Source organism: Homo sapiens, chromosome 3 (assembly GCF_000001405.40).
Source record: "Homo sapiens chromosome 3, GRCh38.p14 Primary Assembly".
NCBI classification, from domain to species: domain Eukaryota; kingdom Metazoa; phylum Chordata; class Mammalia; order Primates; family Hominidae; genus Homo; species Homo sapiens.
The window spans coordinates 43,587,669-43,604,742 of NC_000003.12; the positions used below are offsets into that span (position 1 = coordinate 43,587,669).

The 17,074-nt window shown below is 38.2% G+C and overlaps 1 protein-coding gene across 25 annotated transcripts in view; it reads right to left on the reverse strand.

Annotated features, from left to right (window-relative positions):
• ANO10 (anoctamin 10) overlaps positions 1-17,074 on the reverse strand; it is a 325,747-nt gene that overhangs the window by 221,821 nt on the left and 86,852 nt on the right. For 18 of the 25 annotated variants that reach the window (NM_001346468.2, NM_001204834.3, NM_001346465.2 and 15 more), the window contains exons 3-4: positions 12,716-12,913; positions 10,864-10,998 (exon numbers count right to left, since the gene is read on the reverse strand). The exons of 1 other annotated variant lie outside the window; for it this stretch is intronic. In NM_001346468.2, the coding sequence (NP_001333397.1) occupies positions 10,864-10,998; positions 12,716-12,913 (333 nt within the window). The remainder of the gene's footprint in view (positions 1-10,863; positions 10,999-12,715; positions 12,914-17,074) is intronic. 6 more of the 25 variants (NM_001346469.2, NM_001204832.3, NM_001346466.2 and 3 more) reach the window with 1 other exon arrangement.

The window sequence follows — 17,074 nt, forward strand, 5'->3', positions numbered from 1 at the left end:
AGGAAAGGAAGTTAAAACATGATTAAGAGTCCTACTGAATCAAGATCCGACATCCCATAAGATCTCCTGCTAATGGGTGACACAGTAATATCCTCAATATTTAAACGTTAATGAGAAAAATTTTTTTAATCAAGAAAAAAAAAGCAAGCACAAATAAGACAAGGGAAAAATACCATTAAAACAGGAGTTTAAAAGATGCTGAGAGAAATTTGTACAAATCAACTCACATAAATTTGAAAACCTATGTGATAAAATGGAAACTTTTCTAGGAAAATATAATTTACCCAAACTGACCCCAGTAGTGATAGAAAGTCTAAACAAACCAATTTCCATAGAACACTTAGAGAAAACTGTCCAAAAACCTAATCCACAAACAAACATCAGAACCAGATGGTTTCATATAGAAATTCTAACATACTTTTAAAACAGATTAGATTTTGACTACACATAGTAATAGAACAAAAAAGAAAACAGAAAATCTTAAACTTCATCCAGAACTTGTATTGTTAATATTAAAATTAGCATGCCTTACAAGCTATTTTATGTAAATTGTAAAATAAAGCAAATTAGTAATTACGGTAATGTTATTAAGAATCAATATTTTCAATATGAGTAAAAAGATACAAATATAAACCAAAGAAATTAAGTAATAGCCTATACTGTTAAATTTGAATTGACTATATCAATATAAATTCATGATTTTCAAAAATATATATCCTAGCCTTTTCCATTGAAATGGGAAAAAAGATGGCATAGCCTATATAAAAGATATTTTAAGCACACAAAAAAGCAATTTCAACATAAAATGTAACATCAACTATGATAACATAGCACAAAATATGTCATTTATTTAAGTTTACTTAGTAAATATTTTACTTAGTATAAATTTACTTAGTAAAAAAAAAAAAAATCCTCAGATTAGAGTGCAAAGCAAAATCCGACTATATCCTGATATAAGAGACCCACATAAAATGATACTGAAAGGGGCTGAAAGTAAAAGGCTGGGCAAAAACATTCTAACAGATGCAAACTAAAATAAGGCAAGAACCACAAGACAAGGCTGAATTCAGCAACAACAAAACATTAAGCAAGATGAGGAATAATATTTCATAATGATAAAAGGTGCAATAGACAATAAAAATCTATCCAAGATCTTTATGCAGCCAAAACATAGCTACAAAATTCATAAAACAAAGGTAAAAGAAAATACGAAGAACAAATTGGCAGGAACATAATGAAATTCTCATGGTTGTTACAGAGATCTAGAGCTATGATGGATCAAGAAAACAAAGTACAAGGGACACAAGAACTACATGACAAAATTAACAATGTATACGTAATATAAATTAACTGTCAAATACTACAAAAAAGAAATCTAAGTACTCATGTCATATGAATACTGATGCAAAAATAATGAAATATTAAATGGAAGTCAGCAGGAAAATAGATAATATAAGCAAGTATGGTTCACCATGGGAATAAATGAATGAGTTAATATTAGGAATTCTATTAACATCGGTTGCCATATTTATAATGTCAGGGGTTATAAAAAAATAGTCTTCACAGATGTCATTAATATAATGACATCTTAATAAAGATGTCATTATACACAAAAACTTCTTAATAAAGTAGAAGAAATGAATGTTTTCTAAACACGATAAAAATTACCTAGTCAAATGCCAACATCATGCTGAATGCTCAATATAACATGCATTCCTTTATGAACTGAAGCAATCGGCTGGGCGCAGTGGCTCACACCTGTAATCCCAGCACTTTGGGAGGCTGAGGCGGGTGGATCATCTGAGGTCAGGAGTTCAAGACCACCCTGGGCAACATGGTGAAACCTAAGACAGTAGAATTGCTTGAACCTGGGAGGCGGAGGTTGCAGTGAGCCAAGATCATGTCACTGCACTCCAGCCTGGGCAACAGAGCAAGACTCTGTCTCAAATAAATAAATAAATACATAAATTAATTGAAGCAATCACTATAGAGAGCAATTTGGCAGTATCTACTCTAAAAGATGCATATACCTTTGATCTAACAATTTCACTTCTGGGAATTTTCCTACTTTATTTTTAATGAAAACATTGAAGGAAAACAATTAGATGTTCATCAATATGAAGACATCTATATGATGGAATACTACATGGCCTAGAAAAGGAATGAGTTAGGCTTAATTTGGTATTCTACAATAATGATCAAAATATATTGTTAAATAAAAAAGCAAGGTCCAAAATGGTATGCACAATATACTCCCCATTTGTCTGAACATGTCTTCTCTTGAACAGAATTTCTCTAAGGTTATATAATAGGGAGGGAACAAAGGGATTTGGAACATGGGACAGGAAAGAGACAACTTATCATTGTCTAAATTTTTGTACTATTTGAATTTTCATCATATACATGTATTATTTTTTAAATTGACAGAAACTAATGGAAAATAAACACAAAAATTGTAAGATGCTTGGGAGAAGTATTTTCCTGCCATATGTTATACAAATTGAAAAGAATCATTTAGATGTCCACAGTACAGATGATAAACCCTGTTTTCATTGGAACTCTGAATACAGTTCACAGTAGGCTAGAATAAATACTACATCTTACTTACAAATAAAGTAAAAATAATAATTTATCCTAAGAAAATACTCTAAAATGCAAGAAGGTCGAGAAAGATTAGAATTTGAAAAAGCTCTGTCAAAAGTAAGGCACAATTCTGAACACAAAAGAGTAAGTTAGGAAGGAAGTTAGAGAGTTAGGAAGCTAGAGAGGCAAATAAAAGAAAATCTCAGAAGGCCTTCTATTCCCCATCATGTCTAAGGAAATCAGGAAGACCAGAGAAGATACAGCATCACCTAAGAAGAATTCTTGCCAAAAATTTTTCCAGTTTTCAGGAAAAACAGAGGATAGGGGAACAATGAGAAAACGATCTAAGAGACAAATGGCATGGTCTCTTCAGCAAGTTGATGCCATGAGGGAAAAAATGGAAAAGAGAAACTATTCTATATTAAAAGAGACAGACATAACCAAACAACATGGGTTAACCTAGACTGGATCTCAGTTTGAGCAAACAAGCTCTAAAATATATTTGGTGACAACTGGGAAAATGTGAATATGAACTGGTTCTTGGGCATCTGTCTGCCTGTGACAGATAGGACTAGCTGGATTTCCTAGGCCGACTAAGAATTCCTAAGCCTAGCTATGAAGGTGACCACACCCACCTTTAAACATGGGGCTTGTAACTCAACTCACACCCAACCCATCAGTTAGTAAAGAGGGCTCACTAAAATACCAATTAGGCTAAAAGCAGGAGGTAAAGAAATAGTCAAATCATCTGTCGCCTGAGAGCACAGGGGGAGGGACAATGATCGGGATATAAACCCAGGCATTTGAGCAGGGAGCGGCAACCCCCTTTGGGTCCCCTGCCATCATATGGTAGCTCTGTTTTCACTCTATTAAATCTTGCAACTGCACATTCTTCTGGTCCGTGTTTGCTCCGGCTCAAGCTGAGCTTTTGCTCACCATCCACCACTGCTGTTCGCCGCAGTTGCAGACCCACCATTGACTTCCATCCCTCCAGATCAGGCAGGGTGTCCGCTGCGCTTCTGGTCCAGTGAGGCACCCATTGCCACTCCCAATTGGGCTAGAAGCTCGCCATTGTTCCTGTGCAGCTAAGTGCCCAGGTTCATCCTAATGGAGCTGAACACTAGTTGCTGGGTTCCACGGTTCTCTTCCATGACTCACGGCTTATAATAGAGCTATAACACTCACTGCATGGCCCAAGGATCCATTCCTTGGAATCCGTGAGGCTCCCCAGGTCAGAGAACAAAAGACTTGCCCCCACCTTGGGAGCAGCCTGCCCCCATCCTGGGAGCTCTAAGAACAAAGATCCACCAGTAGCACCTGGATGAAGATTGGAAGGTGGTATTACACTATTAAAAGTAAACCATGAGAGGTTCCAAGATGGCCGAATAGGAAAAGCTCCAGTCTACAGCTCCCAGCATGAGCGGCACAGAAGAGAGGTGACTTCTGCATTTCCAACTGAGGTACCAGGTTCATCTCACTGGGGCTCGTTGGACGGTGGGTGCAGGACAGTGGGTGCAGCGCACGGACAGAGCCGAAGCAGGGCGAGGAATCACCTCACCCAGGAAGCACAAGGGGTCGGGGAATTCCCTTTCCTAGCCAAGGGAAGCCGTGACAGATGGCACCTGGAAAATTGGGTCACCCTGACCCTAACACTGCACTTTTCCAATGGTCTTAGCAAACGGCACACCAGGAGATTATATCCTGTGCCTGGCTCAGAGGGTCCCACGCCCACGGAGCCTTGCTCACTGCTAGCACAGCAGTCTGAGATCGAACTGCAAGGCAGCAGCAAGGCTGGGGGAGGGGCGCCCGCCATTGCTGAAGCTTGAGTAGGTAAACAAAGCAGCCTGGAAGCTCGAACTGGGTGGAGCCGACCACAGCTCAAGGAGGCCTGCCAGCCTCTGTAGACTCCACCTCTGGGGGCAGGGCATAGCTGAACAAAAGGCAGCAGAAACTTCTGCAGACTTAAACGTCCCTGTCTGACAGCTTTGAAGAGAGTAGTGGTTCTCCCAGCACGCAGCTGGAGATCTGAGAACGGACAGACTGCCTCCTCAAGTGGGTCCCTGACCACCGAGTAGCCTAACTGGGAGGCAACTCCCAGTCGGGGCCAACTGACACCTCGTATGGCTGGGTGCCCCTCTGAGACAAAGCTTCCAGAGGAACGATCAGGCTGCAACATTTGCCATTCTGCAATATTTGCAGTTCTGCAGCCTCCGCTGGTGGTACCCAGGCAAACAGGGTCTGGAGTGGACCTCCAGCAAACTCCAGCAGACCTGCAGCTGAGGGTCCTCACTGTTAGAAGGAAAACTAACAAACAGAAAGACATTCACACCAAAACCCCATCTGTACATCACCATGATCAAAGACCAAAGATAGATAAAATCATAAAGATGGAGAGAAACCAGAGCAGAAAAGCTGAAAATTCTAAAAATCAGAGCACCTCTTCTCCTCCAAAGAAATGCAGCTCCTCGCCAGCAACAGAACAAAGCTGCACAGAGAATGACTTTGACGAGTTGAGAGAAGAAGGCTTCAGAAGATGGGTAATAACGAACTTCTCCGAGCTAAAGGAGGATGTTGGAACCCATCGCAAACAAGCTAAAAACTTTCAAAAAAGATAGGACGAATGTCTAACTAGAATAAATAGCATAGAGAAGAGAAGACCTTAAATGACCTGATAGAGCTGAAAACCATGGCACAAGAATTACGTGATGCATGCACAAGCTTCAGTAGCTGATTTGATCAACTGGAAGAAAGGGTATCAGTGATTGAAGATCAAATGAATGAAATGAAGCAAGAAGAGAAGTTTAGAGAAAAAAGAGTAAAAAGAAAAGAACAAATCCTCCAAAACATATGGGACTATGTGAAAAGACCAAATCTACATCTGATTGCTGTACCTGAAAGTGACGGAGAGAATGGAAACAAGTTGGAAACACTCTTCAGGATATTATCCAAGAGAACTTCCCCAACCTAGCAAGGCAGGCCAACATTCAAATACAGGAAATACAGAGAACGCCACAAAGATACTCCTCAAGAAGAGCAACTCCAAGACACATAATTGTTAGATTCACCAAAGTTGAAATGAAGGAAAAAATGTTAAGGGTAGACAGAGAGAAAGGTCGGGTTACCCACAAAGGGAAGTCCATCAGACTAACAGCAGATCTCTCAGCAGAAACTCTACAAGCCAGAAGAGAGTGGGGGCCAATATTCAACATTCTTAAAGAAAAGAATTTTCAACCCAGAATTTCATATCCAGACAAACTAAGCTTCATAAGTGAAGGACAAATAAAATACTTTACAGACGAGCAAATGCTGAAAGATTTTGTCACCACCAGGCCTGCCCTAAAAGGGCTCCTGAAGGAAGCACTAAACATGGATTGGAACAACCGGTACCAGCCACTGCAAAAAACATGCCCAACTGTAAAGACCATCGAGGCTAGGAAGAAACTGCATCAACTAACGAGCAAACTAACCAGCTAACATCATAATGACAGGATCAAATTCACACATAACAATATTAACCTTAAATGTAAATGGGCTAAATGCTCCAATTAAAAGACACAGACTGGCAAATTGGATAAAGAGTCGAGACCCATCAGTATGCTGTATTCAGGAGACCCATCTCACATGCAGAGACACACATAGGCTCAAAATAAAGGGATGGAGGAGGATCTACCAAGCAAATGGAAAACAAAAACAAGCAGGGGTTGCAATCCTAGTCTCTGATAAAACAGACTTTAAACCAACAAAGATCAGAAGAGACAAAGAAGGCCATTACATAATGGTAAAGGGATCAATTCAACAAGAAGAGCTAACTATCCTAAATATATATGCACCCAATACAGGAGCACCCAGATTCATAAAGCAAATCCTTAGAGACCTACAAAGAGACTTAGACTCCCACACAATAATAATGGGAGACTTTAATACCCCACTGTCAACATTAGACAGATCCACGAGACAGAAAGTTAACAAGGATATCCAGCAATTGAACTCAGCTCTCCACCAAGCGGACCTAATAGACATCTACAGAACTCTCCACCCCAAATCAACAGAATATACATTCTTCTCAGCACCACATCACACTTATTCCAAAATTGACCACATAGTCGGAAGTAAAGTACTCCTCAGCAAATGAAAAAGAACAGAAATTATAAAAAACTGTCTCTCAGACCACAGTGCAATCAAACTAGAACTCAGGATTAAGAAACTCACTCAGAACTGCTCAGCTACATAGAAACTGAACAACCTGCTCCTGAATGACTACTGGGTACAAAATGAAATGAAGGCAGAAACAAAGGTGTTCTCTGAAACCAATGAGAATAAAGACACAACATACCAGAATCTCTGGGACACATTTAAAGCAGTGTGTAGAAGGAAATTTATAGCACTAAATGCCCACAAGAGAAAGCAGGAAAAGATCTAAAATTGACACCCTAACATCACAATTAAAAGAACTAGAGAAGCAAGAGCAAACACATGCAAAAGCTAGCAGAAGGCAAGAAATAACTAAGATCAGAGCAGAACTGAAGGAGATAGAGACACAAAAAACCCTTCAAAAAATCAATGAATCCAGGAGCTGGTTTTTTGAAAAGATCAACAAAATTGATAGACCGCTAGCAAGACTAATAAAGAAGAAAAGAGAGAAGAATCAAATAGACACAATAAAAAATGATAAAGGGGATATCACCACCGATCCCACAGAAATACAAATTACCATCAGAGAATACTATGAACAACTCTACGCAAATAAACTAGAAAATCTAGAAGAAATGGATAAATTCCTGGACACATACACCCTCCCAAGACTAAACCAGGAAGAAGGTGAATCCCTGAATAGACCAATAACAGACTCTGAAATTGAGGCAACAATTAAGAGACTACCAACCAAAAAAAGTCCAGGACCAGACAGATTCACAGCCGAATTCTACCAGAGGTACAAAGAGGAGCTGGCACCATTCCTTCTGAAACTATTCCAATCAATAGAAAAAGAGGGAATCCTCCCTAACTCATTTTATGAGGCCAGCATCATCCTGATACCAAAGCCTGGCAGAGACACAACAAAAAAAGAGAATTTTAGATCAATATCCCTGATGAACATAAATGCAAAAATCCTCAACAAAATAATGGCAAAGTGAATCCAGCAGCACATCAAAAAGCTTATCCACCATGATCAAGTGGGCTTCATCCCTGGGATGCAAGGATGGTTCAACATGCCAATCAATAAACATAATCCATCGTATAAACAGAACCAAAGACAAAAACCACATGATTATCTCAGTAGATGCAGAAAAGGCCTTCGAGAAAATTCAACAGCGCTTCATGCTAAAAACTCTCAATAAATTAGGTACTGATGGGATGTATCTCAAAATAATAAGAGCTATTTATGACAAACCCACAGCCAATATCATACTGAATGGGCAAAAACTGTAAGTATTCCCTTTGAAAACTGGCCCAAGAGAGGAATGCCCTCTCTCACTGCTCCTATTCAACATAGTGTTGGAAGTTCTGGCCAGGGCAATCAGGCAGGAGAAAGAAATAAAGGGTATTCAATTAGGAAAAGAGGAAGTCAAATTGTCCCTGTTTGTAGATAACATGACTGTATATTTAGAAAACCCCATCGTCTCAGCCAAAAATCTCCTTAAGCTGATAAGCAACTTCAGCAAAGTCTCAGGATACAATATCAATGTGCAAAAATCACAAGCATTCCTATACAGCAATAACAGAGAAACAGAGAGCCAAATCATGAGTGAACTCCCATTCACAGTTGCTTCAAAGAAAATAAAAAACCTAGGAATACAACTTACAAGGGATGTGAAGGACCTCTTCAAGGAGAATTACAAACCACTGCTCAATGAAATAAAAGGGGACACAAACAAATGGAAGAACATTCCATGCTCATGGATAGGAAGAATCAATATCGTGAAAATAGCCATACTGCCCGAGGTAATTTATAGATTCAATGCCATCCCCATCAAGCTACCAATGACTTTCTTCACAGAATTGGAAAAAACTACTTTAAAGTTCATATGGAACCAAAAAAGAACCCGCATTGCCAAGACAATCCTAAGCCAAAAGAACAAAGCTGGAGGCATCACGCTACCTGACTTCAAACTATACTACAAAGCTACAGTAACCAAAACAGCATGGTACTGGTACCAAAACAGAAATATAGACCAATGGAACAGAACAGAGCCCTCAGAAATAATGCCACACACCTACAACCATCTGACCTTTGACAAACCTGACAAAAACAAGAAATAGGGAAAGGATTCCCTATTTAATAAATGGTGCTGGGAAAACTGGCCAGCCATATATAGAAAGCTGAAACTGTACCCCTTCCTTACACCTTATACAAAAATTAATTCAAGATGGATTAAAGACTTAATGTCAGACCGAAAACCATTAAAAACCCTAGAAGAAAACCTAGGCAATACCATTCAGGACATAGGCATGGGCAAGGACTTCCTGTCTAAAACACCAAAAGCAATGGCAACAAAAGCCAAAATTGACAAATGGGATCTAATTAAACCAAAGAGCTTCTGCACAGCAAAAGAAATTACCATCAGAGTGAACAGGCAACCCACAGAATGGGAGAAAATTTTTGCAATCTATCCATCTGACAAAGGGCTAATATCCAGAATCTACAAAGAACTTAAACAAATTTACAAGAAAAAATCAAACAACCCCATCGAAAAGTGGGCAAAGGATATGAACAGACATTTCTCAAAAGAAGACATTTATGCAGCCAACAGACACATGAAAAAATGCTCATCATCACTGGCCATCAGAGAAATGCAAATCAAAACCACAATGAGATACCATCTCACACCAGTTAAAATGGTGATCATTAAAAAGTCAGGAAACAACAGGTGCTGGAGAGGATGTGGAGAAATAGGAACACTTTTACACTGTTGGTGGGACGGTAAACTAGTTCAACCATTGTGGAAGACAGTGGCGATTCCTCAAGGATCTAGAACTAGAAATACCATTTGACCCAGCCATCCCATTACTAGGTATATACCCGAAGGATTATAAATCATGCTGCTATAAAGACACATGCACACGTATGTTTATTGTGGCACTATTCACAATAGCAAAGACTTGGAACCATCCCAAATGTCTATCAGTGATAGACTGGATTAAGAAAATGTGGCACATATACACCATGGAATACTATGCAGCCATAAAAAATGATGAGTTCATGTCCTTTGTAGGGACATGGATGAAGCTGGAAACCATCATTCTCAGCAAACTATCGCAAGGACAGAAAACCAAACACCGCATGTTCTCACTCATAGATGGGAGGTGAACAATGAGAACACATGGACACAGGAAGAGGAACATCACACACCGGGGCCTGTTGTAGGGTGGGGGCATGGGGGAGGGATAGCATTAGGAGATATACCTAATGTAAATGATGAGTTAATGGGTGCAGCACACCAACGTGGCACATGTATACATATGTAACAAACTGGCACATTGTGCACATGTACCCTAGAACTTAAAGTATAATAATAATAAATAAAAAATTTTTAAAAAGTAAACATGTGGTCCCAGCTACTGGGGAGGCTAAGGCAGGAGATTATTTGAGCCCAGGAGATGGAGGCCACAGTGAGCCATGTTCACACCACTGCACTCCATTCTGAGTGACAGAGCAAGACTGTCTCAAAAAAACAAACAAAACAACAACAACAACAAAAAAAACAGACTAGGGGACACAGAAGCTTACATGTTTAAAGTGTCTTTTAGGCAGCAAAAATGTTCTGAAGCTTTGCCACTATCTGGGTTTGAAGCAAACTTGGAATTATGCATTGTAGTAAACTTTCATTCTGCAAACTAGTATCTTCATTAAAATGAAATCACACAAAACCAAAATGTTGCAAAATTCTAATTTGCATACCCAGTGAGATCAGAGGAAATGGAAAGAGTGCTCCAGGAAAACACCATGTCTTCCCTTTTATATTCCTCCACAGATTTTCATGTACAATGTTAGGGCATAAAGTAAACTTTGCTCATTTTAATTGAGTAATATGTATATGTATACACACTGGATTTTAAGCTAACTGTATGGTATGAGACCTTGATAAATAAGTAGTCAACAATATAAAACAAACATATTGATTTAAAGATGCAATATACTGAGGTTCCAAAGGGAAAAGATATGTTCATAAAAATACAAGTTATTGTAAGTTTGTGTAAGTTCTTCTGTAAGAGGGAAAAAAGGCATCTATAATTTGCTATTTATGTCTATTAAGAAAAAGACTGGTTGACATAATGACTTACACAATGATTTTCCTGGATACAACTTTGCCTGAGGGTAACCAGGGATCATTTTTTCATCTTTAGCTCTAAGATTTTCAAGTTCATGTTTGATAATGAATTGACATTCTGCCATTGTCAGGAAATCATCATTGTTATCTAAAATAAAACAGAAATTACCAGATTTTAGTAATAATCAAAATAAAAATATTCCAATTACCTGAGATTACAGAAATAATGGTATAAACAATAAGCAATTAACATAAGAAGTAATCAAAGTATGAAGCTGGTAAATTAAATAGAACATAAAGCTCCTTAGATATTTTATAAGAATAAAAAAATTCTGTTATGCCTTCACGTAATACAATTCTACAATAATCATTTTAATACTTATATTAGAAACATTCAAGAAGCATATAATTGATCTCATTTAGTACCAATGAGCAGAAAGCAGTATGTTCTTTTATTCTAATAATGCATTAAACTTATTAACGTATTATTATGTTAAACCAGGGATGGAATTGAAGAAGTTTGCCTATATGGCAAATTATCCTCCTTCAAACTCTCAAGCCCATTCCATTCCCTTCTGCAGTCAAACATCCCTTCTACTAATGAGAGAGAAGAAAGTCTTTTAAGAAAATGTTGTTGCTATTTGACAGGTGAAACCTCTTAAATAAGGTAAATTTCCTCTTGAACATTTATTCACTCAGGTATAAAAATCTAGAGTAAGTGAATCCAAAGAAGTCTAATCACATCTTCTAACTCTGAAAGCCCTGGCAGGGATCAGTTTGATTCTGAAGCCAAGCTCCCATCCTGTTATCATATCCACCCTGGCTTTCCCAGTTCTTTCCTGAAAATATTCTCTACTAGAACCTGCTTTGGGGCCAGTATAGAACCAACGACCCTATCACATTCAGCAGGAGCCAGAAAATTCAGGAAATGAGGTTTCTAAGGTACTGAACTACTACTGTATTTCTTATTATTATAAAATTTTTCTAATAAATATTCACATGTGATTATTTGTAGAAAATAATCTCTACTTATGAGATGCAACTTTTTATAGTTAATTTCTTTTTACATGATTGTTTTCTTGTAGAGTTAGAAAATATAATACTTGGCCAGGCGCGGTGGCTCATGCCTGTAATCTCAGCACTTTGGGAGGCCGAGGCAGGCAGAACACGAGGTCAGGAGATCGAAATCATCCTGGCTAACACGGTGAAACCCCGTCTCTATTAAAAATACAAAAAAATTAGCCAGGTGTGGTGGCGGGCGCCTGTAGTCCCAGCTCCTTGGGAGGCTGAGGCAGGAGAATGGCGTGAACCCGAGAGGCGGAGCTTGCAGTGAGCCGAGATAGCACCACTGCACTCCAGCCTGGGCGACAGAGCGAGACTCTGTCTCAAAAAAAAAAAAAAGAAAATATAATACTTTTTTTGGTGTATTTTGTTGACTTAGAATTGATTGGTGACAATCATTCTGCTTTCAAAAAAAAGGATTTTTCTGTATCAAGCTACTGAATACTCAAATTATAAGAATTAGAATAGAATAATATAAGTAAGTTACATGTGTTCCTCTAATTTGTGTTCATCCAGGGGAGGCAAAGGATGGCAACAGGCCAAATCCAGCCTGCCACATGGTTTTATAAATACAGTTTTATTGAACACAGCCTCGCCCATTCATTTACTTATGGTCTATGGCTGCTTTTTTGCTTCACAATGGCAGTGTTGAGTAATTGCAGCAGAGACCACACGGACTGCAAAACCTAAAATATTTACTATTTGACCCTTTACTGAAAAAAGTTTGCTGATCCCTGATCTATTCATCATAAACTTCTTTTTGATAAATGGATTCTAACAGAGACAAAGAACTTAGGGCTTACCATCAAAACCTTTGAAGTTCTGTCTGGTTCTGTATGTGAAGGCTCTCATGGTGTTATCATTGCACTCTTTTACCAATCCCACTGCTTCTGCCCCTAGTAACATTCTAATCTTGGAGGCACCAACAAGATATAAGTTCTGATTTTCTAGTGTTTCTTGTTCATATTTATTTAACAATGGTCTAAACAACAACTGGGCACCTTCAAAAACAAAAGATAAGCACAATCTTAGACAAACATAAAAGTTTCAAAACTAAAAACTTTCTAAATAAATATAATGTTTCTAGTCTGGTAGAAGAAAAAGAAATTATATTAGCAATTTAAATCCATCTTCCAAGTAAATAACATAAGTACATTAGGGATGGCAGTTCTTTATAGTTTTTCAATAAATGGAAAAACTGAAAAATGTACCACTAAGTAGCCTGCCACTTATTCAAATGAGAAGTAGATGAGACGAGAATTCAATATTTCCGAGCTCTAGGTATAAAAGTGCACCAAATAAAAATATAGAACAAAGATTGCAGTTTAATATAAATAGACGAAAATTTAAGAAAATTAATTTGGAACAAAATGTTTCAGTAAAAAGAAAAACCAAAAATGTAATACAATTACACTGGACTATAACAGATTTTGTGAATGTTAAATACTAAATAACAAAAAGCAATATAACTTTTCAGTGATTTTTCCCATAAATTTCTATGTTCTATTTGGTTTAATAATTTTCTGAAATAAGTTACCAAACATAAAGAGATATCATGATTTGATAATGTACATATAATTATTACTTAAAAGATTATAAAGAAAAAAGATTATTTCTACCTACATCAATTTTTGTTTGTTTTTGAGACAGGGTCTCACTCTATTGCCCAGGTTGGAGTACGGTGGCACGATCTTGGCTCACTGCAACCTCCACCTGCCAGGTTCAGGAGATCCTCCCACCTTTGCCTCTCGAGTAGCTGGGACTACAGGTGTGTGCCACTACACCAAGCTATTTTTTGTAGAGGCAGGGTTTCACCATGTTGCCCAGGCTGGTCTTGAACTCCTGAGCTCAAGAGATTCACCCGCTTTGGCCTCCCAAGTGCTGGGATTACAGGCATGAGCCACAGCGCCCGGCCTCAAACTTTTAAAGGTACATTTATTTCTTTACTATTTACCCTCTAGAGATGGTTGACAGGAATTACGAAAATATTAATCAGATGATAACAGGATCATGAGCAGAATTTATATTTCTTTTATCAAATGGATTAATATATTAAGACACTATCATCTAGGTAATTTATAGTAAAGCTATTAAAGACTTTAGTAAAAGGTATATTCAATTTACAGAAAATACCAATGGCTCTTAAATATAAGATCCTTAACCTCACTCATATTAAGACAAATGTAAAAACTATACCAATATGCTGTTTCTCACTTCTCACACTGCAAAGATGGAAAGTTTGGTAATAGGTTGGTGAGCGTGGTAGCCGTGAAGGTACCCCACTCCACCAGCTCTCCCTTCAAGACAATCTGCTTTGAAGAACAGGGTTGACCGCCAGGCTCCTGGTGCCACACCTTAAGATCCTTCCCCCAGCTGCTTCCAGCCATCAGCTGGGCACGGAGGGGACACCTGAAACAAGGCCATTCCTGCACAACGTTAAGTTTCCTTTAAAGGGCAACTTTAAGCCTGGCTGTTAGTTTCTCCGAACTGGGCTGTGGTCTGAGGCTCTTCCTACTCAATTCTCCTTCCTTTCCTCTCTCCTTTCCCAAGTGTCAAATTGACAAAGTCTGAAGGCTCTCTAGACCCACTCTTGCCCCCTCCTCCTTCTTTCCACAAATATTTCTCTCAATAAACTTCTTGTTCATCAAATCCCATCTCTTGTTTGGAAGACCCAAATAGGCACAGTGAGTGTGTGGGGAAAGGCATCCCAGCCATTTTTAGTGGAATAGAAACTGGCATAACCTTTTTTTATTAATTAATTAATTTATTTATTTTGAGACAGTGTCTCACTCTGTCGCCCAGGCTAGAGTGCAATGGTGCAATATTGGCTCACTGCAACCTCCACCTCTGGGTTCAAGTGATTCTCCTGCTTCCGTCTCCCAAATAACTGAGATACAGGCACACACAACCACATCCAGCTAATTTTTATATTTTTAGTAGAGATGGGGTTTCACTGTGTTAGCCAGGCTGGTCTCAAACTCCTGACCTCAAGTGATCCGCCCGCCTTGGCCTCCCAAAGTGCTGGGATTACAGGCATAAGCCACTATGCCTGGCCTGGTATAACCTTTATGAAGAACTATTTGTCAACATTTTGTTTTGAAAAAGAGCATTTTTCTCAGATGTTTGGTGATCTTTCATTACATGTTCATGTTTACGAAAGAGGCTCTGTGAGGCTAAATGGAACTTCTGAGGGCTTATATGGAGCTCATCAAGGATGGCCTTTAATGTAAGGTCTTCCTCCCCTCCATTAACCTTTCCCTTTCAAATTGTTCAGATGACTCCTTTGTTATTTGTTTTCATGTCATCAAATAACATGCTTATAGAGCTATTTCTTGATTTTTCAGTTTTAAGCATTGAAGATGAGGATTTTTAGCTCCCTTTCTTTCTTCACCATTTCCATTCATCATTCCCATCACCTATTCTCACAGTATGGTTAAGTCATCCTTTGGTTTCAAGTCAGTAGGTGATTATGACTACATGTTATTTAGAGCTAAGCCTTACAGTATGCTATGATTTTCCTTTGTCATACTTTCCATTTTCCCAAAAGTTGCTGTCTTATCATTTGCATAGTTTATTATGTACCTATCTATAATACAAACCCCCAAGTTCTCTGCCAACTGTCTCTCTCCTTGATCCACTGACATAAAAGATAACCTATCAACATCATCTTCTTGGAGAACTCTTTCTTCACTCTGCCCTCACACCTCACTTTTCTTTGTTCTCTTTCTAGAACTCCTTTTATTCAGATGTGTACCTCATGAACTAGTCCTTTAATTTTCTTATTATTTGTTCTCATATTTTCCAATTCTTTACCTTTTTGCTCTTCTTTCTTGGAGGCTTGTCTCAATATTATCTTCTAATAATTTTACTGAGTGCTTTTTTCCTAAAGGATTTTTATAATATCCTATTCTTGATTTATAGATGTTATATCTTTTCGTAACTCTGAGTGCTGCGATGTTTATTATCTTTTGGTTTTCTTCTTCTGAATAGTCTGTTGCTTTTATCTGTTTAGTTTTAGATTTCTCTTTCATGTTAGGAATTGTTCTCAGATGTTTGGTGATCTTTTATTACATGTTCACGTTTAAGAAAGGGGCTGTATGAGTCTAAACAGAAGTTCTGAGGGCTTAGATGGAGCTCATCAAGGATGGCCTTTAATGCAAGGCAGTCTTGTCAAATAATCTTCCGTTAGCAACCCCCTGATTTCTGCACCTTTCGTTATTTTGTCTTAAGCTGGTCAGGTTCTCCAAAGAAAGATTGTCCAATCTGCTTCCTACAAGGTGTGAATCTTGTTGTTAATATTTTGGAAACTGAATTAGGTATGTGAGTGGTGGAGTAGGGGAAAGGGGAATGGTATTCAGTATCTTATTTTCAGTACAGAATCTGTGCCTTCAACTGTGCATAGATTTCTATGCCAAAAACCATGCATCTGACCATCTCCAGAGAATAAACCTCAAGTCTTCTGCTGGGGTTGTAGAATATGGAAGAGATTCAAGGATCTATTTATTTTTATTTTAATTGGCATATAATAATAGTATATATTCATGAAGTACATAGTAGTGCTTCAATACCTATAATGTAGCGTGCTCAGATCAGGGTAGTTAGCATACCCATCATCTCAAACATTTATCATTTCTTTGTGTTGGGAACATTCAATATCCTCCTTCTAGCTATTTGAAACTCTGTATCATTTCTTATATGGATCTCAAACACTTATCTTTTCTTCTTGGTCCTACTTTTATCCCCACCTCCATAGATCCAGTGTCCCTAATTCCTGAGTCATTGTGGGTATTGTGCAGAGTAAACCAAATTGCATCTCAACTTCCTTCCCTGTCAGCTTAACTTTTGGCTTTCTCAAATCTGACAAGTCAATAACTATTCAGCCGCCTGTTTCCTAGCTTCCAATTTTTGCTGCTCTTGTATCTTCTTTTTTTTTTTTGGTCCATGTGACTTCGGTCTTTTATATATTTTTTAACCATTTTATTATTATTGTCAATTTAACAGGAGGTTGGAAGATAATCAAAGTAAACATGAGTATAAATCTACTCCCTTCACCTGGAAGATGCAGAACACTTTTTTGGAAAGATTTTTTATGATCGCCCAAAAAGTGTGGAAAGATGCCCATCCCTTCCCTGTGTGTCTCTGAAGGCACACAATCAGCAAAA